This window comes from Homo sapiens, chromosome 1 (assembly GCF_000001405.40).
Source record: "Homo sapiens chromosome 1, GRCh38.p14 Primary Assembly".
Classification (NCBI taxonomy): Eukaryota; Metazoa; Chordata; class Mammalia; order Primates; family Hominidae; genus Homo; species Homo sapiens.
In genome coordinates this window covers 119,130,392-119,146,815 of record NC_000001.11, presented here as the reverse complement: position 1 = coordinate 119,146,815, position 16,424 = coordinate 119,130,392, and the positions used below count along the sequence as shown (strand labels likewise).

The 16,424-nt window shown below is 38.5% G+C and overlaps 1 protein-coding gene and 1 long non-coding RNA gene across 16 annotated transcripts in view, besides 1 other annotated feature; one reads left to right on the top strand and one right to left on the bottom strand.

Moving 5' to 3' along the window:
- WARS2-AS1 (WARS2 antisense RNA 1) overlaps window positions 1-6,420 on the bottom strand; it is a 135,578-nt gene extending 129,158 nt beyond the window's left edge. For 2 of the 4 annotated variants that reach the window (NR_125975.1, NR_125976.1), the window contains exons 1-2: window positions 6,023-6,420; window positions 5,003-5,069 (exon numbers count right to left, since the gene is read on the bottom strand). This is a non-coding gene — a long non-coding RNA (WARS2 antisense RNA 1). The remainder of the gene's footprint in view (window positions 1-5,002; window positions 5,070-6,022) is intronic. The other 2 variants (NR_125974.1, NR_125977.1) reach the window with 1 other exon arrangement.
- Window positions 6,082-6,391: an enhancer, noted in NCBI's record as "active region_1590". NCBI's record gives its function as "activates an Ori minimal core promoter by ATAC-STARR-seq in GM12878 lymphoblastoid cells {active_cell/tissue: GM12878}" and the evidence as "EXISTENCE:reporter gene assay evidence [ECO:0000049][PMID:35858748]".
- Window positions 6,144-16,424, top strand: part of WARS2 (tryptophanyl tRNA synthetase 2, mitochondrial) — a 109,457-nt gene continuing 99,176 nt past the window's right edge. For 5 of the 12 annotated variants that reach the window (NM_001378229.1, NM_001378228.1, NM_001378231.1 and 2 more), the window contains exon 1: window positions 6,163-6,261. In NM_001378229.1, coding sequence (NP_001365158.1) covers window positions 6,172-6,261 — 90 coding nt within the window. In that variant the 5' untranslated portion in view covers window positions 6,163-6,171. Of the gene's footprint in view, window positions 6,549-16,424 lie in introns of all 12 variants that reach the window. The other 7 variants (XM_047429105.1, XM_017000038.2, NM_201263.2 and 4 more) reach the window with 3 other exon arrangements.

Below are 16,424 nucleotides of genomic sequence, written 5' to 3'. Positions count from 1 at the left end.
AAAGCCACTTCATATTTAGGTGTCTGAGAGAGCTGCATATTCTCTGTCTTTCATAAACCGAAACCTGCTATGCTAGGATGACAAGTAGGGCCAATTTCATTTGGTTGAGCATAGCTTCCTGGAGCACAGTCTTCAGAAAAATTTTGAGGCCCATTCTCAGTACCTGCATCTCAGTATCTTCCACAGACATGGGGTCAGCAGATATACTCTAAAACGTGGATTCTGACTGTAATACCTATTTCTGTATCTCTAAATGATTGTAATCTGAGACAAGGCAGAAACGAGTGTCTTGAAATACAAGAGTTACAATGGTATCATCTAGCTCTCCTCTTTCTTTCACTCATTTTACATACAAGGAGAAAGAGGCACATACACGGAAAAAGAGGCACGTGAAGGGTAAATGGTTCAGAGATCAGTAATGTATGCAGATTTTCTCCAAGATCATGCTCAGTTCTACCTATTAAGGGAAAAAGTAAAGAAAAACATAGTTGATTGCAGTTGTTAATGCATCTGGGGAAGTCCAGTGAAATCTCACTGGCTGAAATGGAATTTGACTGAGACAGTGAGGTCAAGACCCTATTTTTAGAGGCAGAGATATCTTTTAATCATGTTTTTATAAATATCAAGATCTAAGCATTATGTTTTACTTTCAGTAGTCACACCTAGGATCATAGCATCATACTAGATAGACAGGGTGTTGGATAGGATCTAATGTAGTTTGATTACAAAGACAAACAGAAAAGAGCCTATCTAAAAGCCACTCGAGGGAGCTTTTTGGAGATCTTGTTAAAGTTCCTTTTGTAAAAGATAAGCTTTGAACGGCAAACCCTGCTCCCCCAAGTTATAAAGTAGCTGGGAGCAAAAGATGGTGATTTTAAAATAGAGTAAGTGTACAGATAGCATAAGGATCTTGTCTTTAGGACCATACCAAGTGGAAAAGATACACCATGCAAAGAGAGACAACAAAGTAAAATACACTTTCAAAAGTTGAATTTTGCTAATTTTAAAGTTGTATTTCCTCTATGGGATACATGTCCTAAGACTGATGATGAAAAATGGGGATAAGGACCATTGAAATAGTCTTACAATTCTCCCAAATTATTCTCTATTCTAGATCCATACCCAAGGGAGCAATTCTCTGCCTTCTTTAAAGACCTGTTCTCTAATGTTCAAATGGCCATTTGTAAGAGTATGGAGAGAAAACATTAAATATGAACAGGAATCCTGGGGCCTGTAACATTCCTATGTAATCAGTATTCCTCCTGGTTCTGAACACTAAGGACTCTACTTGTAATGGAGTCAGTTTTCATGCATATTATTCACTTGTGTCTGCTCTGACTCTACCCACCTTCCCCACCTTCTCTCAACTCTCATCAAAATATCTTCACTGTTGTGGGGTGGAAAATTGTCCTTAAGGCAAGAAGTTGAACCTGGCAATATAAAAAGTGTGGCCTTGACCCTTAATCTTAAGAAAAAAGTGCTCTGAGAAAAATCCCATTTTGCTATTCACATCACTTAGTCTCTTCTTGGATTTTGCCCTTTCTTCCAGAAATAAAGTGACAATGATGACTCCCTATAAAACCCTTTAAGCCTTCCCAAAGGTAAGATGAGCTTCTGATTATTGTCCTTACAGTAAGATGCTATAATTTGCTCTCTCCCAAAAACTACTAGGGAAAGACAACATCTTTTTACATTAGGGGTGGAGATGAGAGTATCAGCCTTTAAAAATAAGACATTTGCTTGTTCTGACTTTGAAACCTGACACAAGGATGTGGCTTTATGTGGAACCTTCCCCATTTGGACCCGCCCTAGCTTTAGCCTCTTCAGCTTTACTGTGGTGTCAAAGTAGAACATTCATCTGGAGATGGATTTCTTTTTTTTTTTTTTTTTGAGATGAGTTTCGCCCTTGTTGCCCAGGCTGGAGTGCAGTGGCACAATCCTGGCTCACTGCAACTGCCGCCTTCCAGTTTCGAGCGATTCTCCTGCCTCAGCCTCCCGAGTAGCTGGGATTACAGGTGCCTAGCACCATGCCTGGCTCATTTTTGTATTTTTAGTAGATGGGGTTTCACCATGTTGGCCAGGCTGGTCTCAAACTCCCGACCTCAGGTGATCCGCCCACCTCGGCTTTCCAAAGTGCTGGGATTACAGGTGTGAGCCACTGCGCCCAGCCGAAGGTTCTTCTCATTGTTGCTTTTACTTGTGTGATTTTGGTCAAGGTACTTAATATCTGTGGACAAGTTTCATTAGTTATAAAATAAGAGGAAGAACTAAAGTTAAGCCAAAGGTAAAAAAAGAATAATCATTATTACAGTTTCCCATATACTTTTATGACTCTTGGAGGTTATCTCACTCAAAAGCAGGATCTGCCTCACTTTAATTTGGGTCCTTATAATAGGTCCAGCATAAGATGGCATGGTCAGAGAACATGTACAGAGAACTATAGTCCATAATTATGAAGAGAGAGGTTTGTTTGCTTTTATTATGGAATCTCTTCTATATTTGAAAAAACATACTCAATATAAATGAAAGGTCAGGGGTGAATGAATTGTGCTTTAAGTAAGTTTTGAATACAATTGCCATCTAGTCTTTGCAGTCTGCAAAATTCTTCTTTAAGTGAATAAATGTGTAGGGCAACTCTCCATTACCTTGATCAGCATCTAATACCAACCTGACACTTAGAATTAAATTAGAGAAAGAAAATTGGATACTTTGAGACTTGAGGGCTGATTATACTGCTTGAGCTAAGAATGGATTTAAACTCTTCCCTTATCCCATTTAAATCTAACTAGGTATAAACTCTCCATTACTAAGGAATAGAGGTGTGTCTGCAGAGGTGGAGGTTCCCCTTGATGTTCTTGGACAAGGAAACCTAATCCTTTCTTCTGACACACATGGTTGCAATAGAAACCATTTCCCAACTGCCAGTCTGGTTTTAATCTGTTGTTTCTAGCAGGAGAGGATTTGCAGGGAATGTTAAGGAGAGAACAAAATTACCAGAACTTACTATAAAGTAAAAGTGTTGATGAGAAATCAAAATTTAAACAAGTGTTCAAAATTGTAAGCATGAACATATGTAGACATATAGTTCACGTTATAAGGATAGGACTATAAAACTTTTTAATCTTAGGTATGTTTAAAGTCTGCTTTCCATACAACATTTATATCTTACTTTACCAAAGTTCTTTAGCTTACTCAAATGATAGCAGTGGTAAAATACCGTCATTAAATACAGTGGTGCTTCATTTAAACACCACTGTTGGAGAATGAATTATTCCATAGGAGAATTTTCCATATAACCAACTGCATAATACACACTTTTCTTTTCTTTCTTTCTTTTTTTTGAGACAGTCTTGCTCTGTTGCCCAGTGTGGAATGCAGTGGCTTGATCTCGGCTCCCTGCAACCTCTGTCTCCCTGGTTTAAGCAACTCTCGTGTCTCAGCCTCCTGAGTAGCTGGGACTACAGGCGCACACCACCATGCCTGGGTAATTTTTGTATTTTTCGTAGACATGGGGTTTCACCATGTTGGCCAGGCTAGTCTCGAACTCCTGACCTCAAGAGATCTGCCCGCCCCAGCCTCCCAAAGTGCTGGGATTACAGGTGTGAGCCATTATGCCCAGCCCATGATATATACACACTTTTAAATGTTAACCATTTTGTATGAAAACATTTCAAAAGTGTATTGTAGGTTTTTTCTTCAAAGATACATTGAATAATATATCTTTCCCCGAGGAGTCATGGTTACCATTATTAAAAACTTATTAAAATACGTTAAATATACTGAGCTGAATATATTCCTCCTCTTAGAAGATGGTGAGCTTTGTAGTCATACTTTCCCCAACACCAAAATGCTTACTGTGAAAAAGTACAAAAGTAGACAGAACTGGTTCATTTTTAATACATCCTGTGTCTTTTCTGTTAACTGTTCCTTCTGGCTGTTAAAAGCATAACAATTGCTGACAATAAGCTGTGTAATTTGTTAAAATCCAATTTACTTTTAAAAGAGGTGCCTACTCTGCATAAGAGACTATTCTAGGTGCTGGGGGAGATGTTAGAAATATAAACTATAGTCCTTGTCCAAGAAGCAAGGCTGGCTGAGTGACACCTGAGAGTTACCAGGTCACCGCCACGGTGCAAAACACAGTTTATTACTTCTAACAAAGTCTAAAAATTAGCAAATATTTTCAATTTTAAAAATCAGGATACTAAAGTTATAAAACTTGTGGTCTTAAAGTCCCACCTTTTTTAGTGGGACTATGTCTTGGAAATACCTCCCACGGAAATATTATTGGTCATAGGAGTCTGCAGATACGACTAAGAACTACTTCTTGAAGAAATAAAGTAGGTACACCCTTTGACAGCTTTTGGTGCACCATAGTCTTATTGCTAGGTTTTATCTTGCTATCTAGATGACTAAAGATGTCAGAAAGCTAATCTTGCTAATTGCTAGGGTCATGTAATCTCATTAATAAAATATATGTAAAACACTGTACTATAATGCTTTGCTCTATGTATGAGTAAAACATGTAGGGCATTTATTAAACTGCATTTTACAAGGCATAACATATATCCCCCTTCCCCTGGCAAGGTTTGTTTCCAGGGTCTCAGTAATATCACATTCTTTGGGTTCTACAACACCTCTTGGCTCCTTTATTTCCATCATCTGGCTACTTTCACTCCACAAACTCTATCTGATGGTCTCAAGGATTTCCTTGGTTTCAATTACCATCTGTTTGGTAGTTCAAATCTCTTCTGAGCTCCAGACCCATGTATCTATTTAATGGGCATCACATTTTGGAAGTACTACAAGCACCTCAAATTTAACAGCCAAAACCAAACTGATCAGCTTTGTTGAAGACTATAACTTGATTTCCTAGTTTTTTTTTTGCCTTCATCCCTTTCCTGCTCACTTCTAAATTACACCAATTATACTTGAACTTCACCAGTACTTTGTATACCTACAAGATTATCCTATATGGTTTTAATTTACTGTTTTGTCTTACCCTGGTAGATTTCAGCTCCTTTATAGGCATCTCTTATCTCCTACCTCTCCTTGGTAATTTTCAGTAGCTGGATGAATTATAAACAAAACACATAAAGGAATTGTCATGAATTTCTTCCAGTTATATTTTTACTGAAACACTCGTTATCTGTCTGGGAGATTTTTAGGTGAATTAACAGAAGCAGAAAAACTGTATTAAACTTTCTCATAACCCCAAACAAAACAATTTCTTCCATCAGGTATAACCTTCCTGCAGCCTTCCCTAGACTAGGTTGAAACACCACAGTCATAACCACTCCTCCTTAAAACTTGCGGTGCTTGCTTCTTTAACACCTATTAAGTGTACATCATTTATTTATCCGCTACTCTATTAGACTGTACACAACTTGAAGACAAGATATGTCTTTCTCTGTACCTTCAGTGCCCAGCACATTACGGTAGGGTTCAACAAAGTTTACAGGACGAATGAAATAAGGCCACATAAGTCCAGTGCGGTGGCACATGCCTGTAATCCCAGCACTTTAGGAGGCCGAGGCAGATGGCTTGGCTTGAGCTCAGGAGTTTGAGAGAGCCTGGGCAACATGGTGAAACCCTGTCTCCACCAAAATACAAAAATTAGCCGGGCGTGGTGGCGCACCCTTGTGGTCCCAGCTACTCAGGAGGCTGAGGCAGGAGAATAGCTTGAGTCTGGGAGGTGGAGGTTGCAGTGAGCCGAGATCGCGCCATTGCACTCCAGCCTGGGCGAGAGTGAGACCTTGTCTCAAAGAAAAAAAAGGGAAATGAGGCCACACATGTCTAAAAAGACCACTTATATTACCCTCTAAGAGAACTGGGAGTTTCTAAACAAACTTTTTAAAGGTTGCCTTCACATAGCTAAGATCAGAAATGCAGCCTACTTGACTTTCTTCCAGTCTAAAGCGTTGCTACTAATAACCCCCAAGGAAATTCTCCTTCCAGGAAGGCTGAGCAGACAAGGGATCCAGGGAAAAACACTAAAGCCCCACCCCGCTCCTGTCCCCACCTGCTCGGCAAGAACTGCAGTCCGCCCGATAGCGGCTGCGCTGCGCAGCCTGGAGGCCCAAGCCGCGCCCAGCAAGCAGGAGTCGCGAGACTGGGATTGGCTCTCTGAACAGACGTCATTCCAAACAAGACGGCTCCGCCCTTCTCAAGATGGCGCTGCACTCAATGCGGAAAGCGCGTGAGCGCTGGAGCTTCATCCGGGCACTTCATAAGGGATCCGCAGCTGCTCCCGCTCTCCAGGTAACCAAAGACGGCCCTTCCCTCCGCGGCTTCCCATCCCGCGAGGTTCTTCTCATCCCACTGCCCTCTATTTATTTCTCTCCTCCCGCTTCTTAGGGAAAGTACATGCCTTCCCTCGCCTAAGGTCTACTCGTCTATGACTGTCGGCCTGCTCAGAGCGTAGTGACGTTGCAAGGATACGTGATGACGTAAAGGTTTCTTGGTGGAAAAAGCGCGCCGCTTTCTGACCTCTTGCCGCCACCTCCAGTTCTGGGAGCGGAGCGCCGCCGCTGTTGCCGGGCAACGCGGTGAGCCTACCCCGCGTGTGATGTTTTCAGAGACGGGTTGTTTTAGAGACTGCTCTTCTTGTGGTCTTATTACTGTTTTTACCCTCCTTACCCTAACAACACGCTAAGGGGCTATCGGAGAGAGTAGAGAAGTTTTGTTAGGCATTGGGCAGCTTGGGTCGGGGCAGCAGGTTGGCAGTGTGGTACTTGAGCAAGTGTCAGTGCATCTTCCATTCTGGTTGCTCCTGGTGGCTCCACAGCACTGCTCTATCTAGCAGGCTGTGAAAGAGTGACCGCAAGCTGCTACAGAGTTTGTCCTGTCCTGCGCTTGACAACACTGCTGTTACCATTAATCTCGTCGTACGGAGACCATGTCGCGGCCTGGTCTTATTGGGAATTGTCTTAAATATTTGGAATTTTACCCTCATAGCAAAAAAGTCAGGGGGAGGGGATACCCTTTCAGTTATTCAGGATTTTACCAAACGTCTTCCAAGTACAGTCTCAGTGGCAAGCACTTTGACATACTTTATCTACGGGAGATATATTCTGGGAACTAGAGAGAAAGGAGAGAATGTGATTTTATTAGGTAATTTCCCGGCATCATTTGCATATGTATTGCCATAATGAGTAGGTGTGAGGATGTCGCACCTATTGTAACTGTTGTGTTGAAAACAGCGCTAGACAGGAAGGTAGCCTAGAGGTCAAGGGTTTGGTCTGCCACTTGACAGCTGTGTGACAAGTCACAATCTCTCTGGGACTTTTCTTCTTTTTTTGCTCATATTGAGTGGAGGAAGAGAGCTGGACTGATTGACACGTTAATGTTCTTTCAACCTCTGGAAAATCTATAGTTCCATGATTATGAAGCCAAAACAAAGCCAATGAGAGTAATTATGAAAACCAAAATTTAAGTTCAACTTATTTTTCTAGTCATGTCATAAATTTTTTGAACTTCCGTTTTTTATTAATGTGAGCCTCACAAAATTCTTATAAGCTAATATATTAATATATACCGGAAAGCTGCTTGTCAGCAAACAACTATTCAAATGTCACCTTAAATTTCAGCAGCAATGTTAGGTAAGACAATTCAAAATTAGATAAATTTATCAAAAATTCCTCTCCTTGAAATTTGAGGGTTTGATTCTGCAGAACTAGAATGAGATGATTATTTATAATTTATAGCACATTAACACCTATGCTATCAAAGTAGCTAAGCCGTAGACCCAAACTTCCCCTTATTCCAAACTAAAGAATTGAAGATGTCTTGAGAATAGAGAATCAAAGAGAGAGAGAAAAAAAAGACAAACTGCAGCCTGCTAATGACTGCCCAGGGAAGTTTAAGACACTAAGTCATTATAAATGCTAAAGAAAAAATTTCTTAAACCTCTACTATTGTTTCAGTGGCATTTATGAATAGGGCTATTAAAGTTAATTATTAATCTAGATTGTTTCAAGATGTAGAATTTCCAGTACCGATGAATGTTTCTAAACCTTTAATTTAGCTTTGAGTAGAATAAGTATTAAATGTGAGAGTATTTTTTTAAAGTATAAATCTACATATAATTTCAGTCATTGAAAATGATGGTTTGAAAGATTAATGTGGTTTTTTGAAAGACTGAGAAAAGATACAAAATTGTGTTCATAGTGTTATTACGATGTTATGTTTATATATAAGTGTTTATATAAACGTATACATAGAAAAAAAGCCTGGAAGGGAACAAACATTTTTAACTTTTTTATTTTGCTTTGGCCTTCCTAAATAGTGGGTTAAAAGTTATTTGTTTCCTTTTATAGCATTACATATTTTTCACATGTCTAAATTGAAGACACACACTTTTTAATAACCAGAAAAACGTTTTGAAATCATAAATCTTTATACAGATCTTTAGTCATTAATATCATTTGTGATATTTTAGGATTCTGAGGAAGATACTTGTCCCACAATGCTGTTATTAAAATGGCCTTAGAAAAGGACTACTAAAAATTTATGGCCACTTTTCCTGTATGTATCTTCTTTTTCTCTTGAAAAGCTTCCTTTGAAGTCAAAGGGATTTTGTGAACAGATGCAGAAATATGTGAAAGAGGCATTGGATTCTTAAACCAGATGCATTAGACATTTTTATGATATCTCATAACCTTTGTAGAAAAAAATTATTTTGCAAGAGTATAGTATAATGGGAAAAAATGTATATTTATCATATGAATGGTTCCATCAAAAACCAAGAAATAGCCAAGTTAGTTTTTATTAGCCTTGGCTGTGCACTTACTCCCTTAGGTGTAAAGCAAAAGTGAATGAGCCATAACAGTGCTATGTTAGAAACTCTAACTAATAAAGTGTTGTGATTCCTAAGTTGTTTTAATGGTTTTTAGTGTTTTCTTTTTTTAAAACAAAATCTTGGGTAAAAATGTTGGCATAGGGCATCTTTGCTTATCTCAGAGGATGCAGATGTAAACTCAAGTTGAAAATAAAACAGGGAGAAACAGGAATAACAGCACATCACTCCATACTCATTATGGGATGTCTACAATTTATATGAAAACGGTTTATTTTGCCAGGTGTTGCCTGACAGAAAACTGTTGAAATCTGACAAGATGAGCGTAGTCATAAAGTCAGAGGAGTTAAGATCTGACATGTTCTGTTTAAATGTTGATGGTATTAGGTAAATTTAAGCCTGTCATCATTGGCCAAACACAGAATCCATACTTCTTTAAGCACTAAGTCATGATTGTATTGTGCAAAGAGTGAAATATTGATGGTTAGTAGATTTTTGCAAAAGTATTTGTTATTCAGTTGAAGTATGATAAAGTGTCCACATTTTATTGCAGTTGAACATGTTTCATTATTAGCGGTTCCTAGTCTGGGTTTGGCCAGTATTCACATAATGTTCTTGCTGTTAACTATCGCTAAGTATAGCCATTAGATGAAGAATTACGCCTAAAAAGAAAAAAAGCGTGGTTTAAAATTTTTGACCCTGTATTTAATTCTCACAAGATTTAAATTTTTTTAATTTTAAAATAATTTTAGATTTACAGAGTTGCAAAATTAGTACAGAGAATTTCTGTATACCCTTCACCAAGCTTTGTCTTGAATAATCATAATACAGTTATCAAAATCAAGAAATTAATATTGGTACAATAATAGTAATTTAGCTACAGACTTAGTTCAAATTTCACTAGTTTTTTCACTGTCCCTTTCCTTAGTCCAAGATCAAATCCAGGGTCCCACAATGCATTTAGCTTTCATGTCTCTTCTAATGCATACATTTTCTCCTTCATGACCTTGGCACTTTTGAAGAGAACCAGTCAGTTATTTTGTAGAATGTCTCTCAGTTTAGGTTTGTCTGATTTTTCTTTGTGTTTAGACTGAGGTTATGGATTTTTGGCAAGAATACCACGAAGAGATATTGTTCATAACAAGGCCTTGAGGCAGGTATTGCCACCTTATTTCAAACGTGAAGAAATAGTCTTTGGTTAAGTAACTTGCCCAATGTCACACAATGGTGGAATTAGGATCGTAAGATTTAATGTAGGCATTTCATTCCATATTTTGCAATTAGTATTTGTTATTGTAGGTTTCTGGAATGTTAATGACATTAAATTGGCATAGTGTTCCCACTGACTTTTAGCTTTTCTCTGCCATGTATTGTTCATGCAACATGCAACATGAGCTAATCAGCATGGTATGTGTTCAAGAGCTACTACAATCATCTGGGAATTTTGCTAGTTGATTACTCTGCCAGTTTGATGAGGTTACTTCATCTCTCATGGCAAAAAAAGGTGTTGCGTGGATCCACTCTAAAGCTCCTTTTAATCTCAGTCGGTGAGTCTTATTTGTTTAAAGTGCTTTTGTGGTTGGTTGCTTTTGTGAACTGACCTAGTTTATTAAAATGATAATAATATTTAAATTCTTTGCAATATAGCTTTGAGGAGCTAATGAAAACTACTGATAGTAACTGTTGAAAATATAGAGGAAGGAAGAACTGTAGCTGAATGCTGAGGATTTATGCTAGCAGATAGTACGGCAGCCATGGCCTGGAAATGCTGAAGAGAGTGATGCTGCTGACCTCCAAATTCTTGCTCAGTATATCTTTCGAATGACTGCAAGTTACAGAAGAGCTGTCTGCAGAAGCTTCTACAACTATATGTACACACACACACACACACAGACAAATATATATTTTTTATACAAATTTATTTATTTATTTATTTAAACATCTATTGGCCAAGCACGGTGGCTGACGCCTGTAATCCCAGCACTTTGGGAGGCCGAAGCAGGTGTATTTCTTGAGCTTAGGAATTTCAGACCAACCTGGGCAACATAGTGAGACCTTGTCTCTATAAAAAATTCAAAAAATTAGCTGGGCTTAGTGGCATATGCCTGTAGTCCCAGCTAGTCAGGAGACTGAGGTAGGAGAATCACCTGAGCCCAGGAAGGCTTCAGTGAGCAGCGATTGTGCCACTACACAGTTAAGATCCTGTCTGAAAAACCAACAAACAAAAAAACCCCAAAACCCATCTCTCTCTCTCTCTCTATCTCTCTATCTATCTATCTATCTATCTATCTATCTATCTATCTGTCTATCTAATCTATCTATCTCTATATTCCATGTCTTTCAGAAAAGGAACTAACAGCTAGTGCCTGCTATGTGCTAAAGTCTCATGGTATGTGTTTTACATACTTTATCTTATTTACTTCATACAACAATTTGTAAATATTATTCATCCCATTTTATAAAAGAGGAAACTAAGATTCAGAGAGTTTAGGTAATTTTCCCAAGTCACAGAGTAAGTAAATAGCAGTGACACAGTTCAAACCTAGTCTTGCCTATGCTTTTCCCACCTTACCAGTAGTCTTTTATCAAATGAAATCTTACATGAATCCCTGTTATATAAAACAGATAAAAGCAAAGCTTTTCTGATTTAAGAAGCAGAGGAGTATTTTTAGCCCTGCTTGTTTGATTTCCCTCTCCCCCATTACCCGCCCCACTCCACAACCCAGGGGCTCCTGAGACAGTGCCACACAATTTTGGATTTCTTAAGATGTAGTTTGAAAAATACTGCAGCTTCCATAAATATCTAAGTAAGTTTGTTGATCAGGACCACATATGATGGATGGATTATTTTTAAGGAGCTGCACCGTAAATGAGTGGTTTGAGAGTATTTACTTTGATGTGTATATATTTTATAACTACAATACAGTATTCTATTGATCTTAAGCTACATAAGAGTACATGAGATAATAGCAGTCAAACAACTTTCTTTCCTTTTCTTGCCTTCTTTCTTTTTTACAGCTTACTGCTGCCAAACATGCTGATCTTTGTGCCCAAAGATAATGCTTTGGATTCAGTCTGTCACTGTTGTAACTAACCTAGCCTCTAGCCTCCTCACAGAGAACACTTACTCTAGTTCTTTTCTTGACTCTATTCTAATACCACCATTCAAGAGTTCAAGAGTTTCTCTTCTGAAGATTACAATATGAGGCCTAAATCTTTCTCCTAAATTTCAACAGAGAAATTTACTCCTTTAGGGTAGAAGCTGCTCAGCCACACTGTGAGACCCTAGATGCCTAGAGATAATTTATAGGCACAGAGATGATATGCTGACTCCAGCTTGACTTAATTTAACTCTGCTCAGGCATTTAGTTTTCTCTCTCTACCATTTCTTGACAATATTCTATCTTTTTTTTCTCCAGTTCAGAGGCTTCACAGATTTCCTGAACTTCTCTGCTTACTGAGCATAGCAAGGTCATTTATAGGTCCTTGCACTGACCCATCACCTGAGTTCTGTTAGGTTTCTACTCATTAACCAAAATTCATCTGTAGCTTTCTTTTTTTCTTGCCACACAGTCTTCTGTTTTTTTTCTAGAGCTACTGCTCCATTTCTAATTGAGAAAGTTCTAATTGAACCGACTTCTGGTTGACTAAAGAACTGTTTTTTGTTTTTGTCTTTGTTTTTTTTTTTTTTTTTTTTTTGCCCCTTTGCCTCCTAAAAAGCAGAGTGAAGCCAATCTGATTTTTAATTCATGGATATTCTTACAACTTCCACTTCTACATCTTTTGCATTCTTTGTGGATGCACCAAACAGCATGCAAGAATGTCAGTTTCTCCTTCACATTCTTATCTTCATGTTCTGATTGTGACTCACTGAGGATGGAGCCCTGAATGACCTTGGTTAGGTTGCTTATTATCCCATTTTCTTGAGATGATAGGTGTAGATTTTTCAGTAAGGTAGTTGAAAGTATAAAATAAAATAACATTTACCTTGTAAAACATTTTAAAGTGGAATCTATTCTCTTTAATAATATCCTATTTTAATACAGCATTTTGTAGTTTTTCAGAATGCTTCACATTCTCATTTACTCTTGAATACAATATACAAAGTTCCTCTATTTAGCCATCAAAAATTTTTACTCGTTGATTAAACTTTTATTGTGCCTTCCCATTTTTTTTAACCAGTTTTGCAAGATGATGAATATAAAGTAAATATCAGTGTTCTTTCAAGTTTTACTTCAGTGACTGTTATCCTATTTGTACTAAAATTAGTTTAATGTTTAATTCATTTTTGGGCCCTGGTCTGATAGTACCATGATAATTTCAGTTATTACTAAACATGATGATAATGGAGGTGGTGGTGATAATAGCAAACATTCATTGGATGCTTACTATGTGCCAAGCATGGTTTTAAGTATTTGACATTCATTAACTCATTTAATCCTCATAACTCAATAAGGTAGGTGCTATTAGCCCTATTTTATAGATGACGATGTTGGGAGGTTAAATAACTAACCTAAGGTTACATAGCTAGCAAGTGTCAGAACCAAAATGTAAACCCAGCTAGCCTGATTCCAAACCCTGTGCACTAACTACAATGATGATAAATTCTGAAGCAAAGTACACATGTTAATTTGCTGATAACTGCCTTGTAACTTTTAAATCTGTTCTATGAAAGTCACTTATATATCTTGCCATGGTGACATGTAGAGTAGAAATTATAAATCATCCTTTGTTGTTGCTATTCTTACAGTCTTGTTTCGCTCAATGAATTATGAGGAAGAAGCAAAGCTGTCTTGTAAATTTATCTCCATGTCTCTATTTGGCTACTACCACTAGGATTACCTTGTATAAAATAAGGGCTTTTAACACATGAGTCCCAAGGTGCATGTAGGAAGTTCTGTTTATACACAGTCTATAGCTAAAAGGGCAACCTGCACAGAGCCCTGCAGGTAGAGGAGAGGTGGTGAGAGCTAAAGTTGATGGCTGACCAAGGGACCACTATCTAGGGTCTAGTTGGGATTTATGGCTAGAGTGCTTTCTTCAAGAAGTGGCAGAAGTACAGTCAGAAGGTGGGAAGTAAGAAAATAGTGTTGTGGGCCATTTCTGCAAGGGACAAGGAAGAATTTGATTCTGAAAGATTGTCCTTTGAAGGAGTTCTTAAAGAGGTCTATAATTCATTAATTATAGAGTATTAAGGTGAGTATATTAGTATATTAATTAGAATGGTGATGAGGCTTTAAAATTAGCAATATTGAACAGAATTCATTTTATACATCAAACAAAGGGCTTCTCATGAACTTTTTGTCACACTCCTCATGAACAGAGACTTTGCATGGAGTGTTCAACTTTATTATATGAATAAAGCCTACTCTTTATTCACCACGTTACTTTGGACCCCTTTTGGGAAGCAGGAGAATATAATAGTGAAGGGAAATGGAGCTGTTTACTCAAATCGCAGATTTGGATTCCTGTCCTCCCATGGGGAGAATGGTCTGAGCAGCCAGTTCATAAATTTGCTGGAAAAGAGAAGAGGCTTCTTGGGCTGAGGGTAAGTGTGCAGTGCGAAGTTGGAGTCCCAAGGGAGATGTAAAGGACCAGACTGTGTGGAACTCTTGCCAGTCCTGGGGAGAGAGTCAGATTGGCCCACCGACTGGCTACTAGCTACCTGGCAAACTTTGGCTTTTCCCATGGCTGGCAACCTTCCAGCTACTCCCATGCCACTAAGCTATGAGACATCCAGACTCAATAAGTTGACTGGCTCTTCATTAAGAGGAAGTGGGGGAAAGTAGACCATGCATGACTATTTGGATCAGCCAGGCCTGGCTCTACCACCACATTTTAAATGTGATTCCAGGCAGTTTTTTGACTTCACTAAACCTCAGTTGTCTCATGTGCAACATGTTAATAATACTCCTCACATTGTAAGAATTTTATGTAGATTTGAAATCCTACCATATATAAAGTTCCTTGGCCACTGCACAGCACCTGGTAGGTCCTCCCTGCTTGATGATGACTTCTTCAATAATATATAATTCTATCCAACAACCTTTCTCTCTTTTACTCTTATCACTCTTAGTAGGATTCTTTCCATTGCCATACTATTCTTCCCGCCCCCCACCACACCCCCTAGAATCAGTCTGACTTTGTTAATCTCCCAAAAGCAGAGCTCTAATTATGTTGTTCCCTTGCTGAGAAGCCTGTGGGGGCTTCTCATAAAGTCCAGACTTCCCACAGAACGTTTAAAACTTTGTACAGTCCGGGCCGGCGCTGTGGCTCACGCCTGTAATCCCAGCACTTTGGGAGGCCGAGGCGGGCAGATCACGAGGTCAGGAGATCAAGACCATCCTGGCTAACACGGTGAAACCTCATCTCTACTAAAAACAAACAAATTAGCCGGGCGTGGTGGCGGGCGCCTGCAGTCCCAGCTACTCGGGAGGCTGAGGCAGGAGAATGATGTGAACCCGGGAGGCGGAGCTTGCAGTGAGCCGAGATCGCGCCACTGCACTCCAGCCTGGGTGACACGAGTGAGACTACGTCTCAAAAAAAAAAAAAACAAAAAACAAAAAACTTTGCACAGTCCGGATCCAAAATACCTCTCTAGACCATTGCTATCTTACATAGATCCTTTGCCCTAGAGTTCACAAAATTTCCAAGTTTCCTCGGAGCTACTCCCTTTTACTTCCTTATTAATGCCATTACCTCTTCTTGGAAAGGCCTTTCTTCCTATCCTTATCTGTCTGTACTCTATCATTCTTTAAAAACAAAACAGAAATATGTACAGCTTTTTGCAATGTCAATTATACCACAATAAAGTGTTTTAAAACAAACAGCAACAACCAAAAAACCTCAGATATCGGTTCCAAAAACTTTGTTCTTAAGCTGGAAATGATTGCTTCCATTTTGAAATTTTATAGGACATTGTATCTCTCTTATAGAAAAAAATACATCCTTTATATTCTGTCTCTGTTTTTAGACATTTGCTTTAAGATAGATGGAAGAGCATGCTCTTTTTCATTTAGACCTTTTGTGAATACCTCAGCAGAAAACAGTTTAGTATGCACCATACCACAGGTGCAGCATAAGCTGCTACTCAACAGGCAGACCTCACCAGGCAGTATGTTTCTAGAGGCCACCACCAGTCATGAAAGACAGGAAGATTTGCCTGTTGAGCCGTGGCTGTGATAACTATGTGTGTGAGAAAATGAGTTATTATAATAAAGATTTAATTCTTAAATCTTTGGCATAATAACTCCTGTTACAGAAGGAGCTCAATAAGTATTTAATGAGTGAATGAATTCAGTGAAAAAAAATCAGTGAGACAACACATGAGACAGTGCATAGCATTGTCATCAAGGAGATTGTTGAACTTAAACCATACATTTTTGTGTGCATTTTTATTTATTTAATTACAAAAGTTGTGTAATGTTTGTTGCAGTTAATAAGTGATCTTATTATTGCCCAAAGTATCCACATGTTTATAAATGATTGGAAGGTCATACCAATTTTATTTCAACAATTTTCTGAGAGGGTATGAATTTCAAACTTGTCGCTTAACTGACTTTTATTGTCACTCTGGCCCTAATTGTATTTTTCACAGGTACCACTAATTATACTAGGATTTGCCACC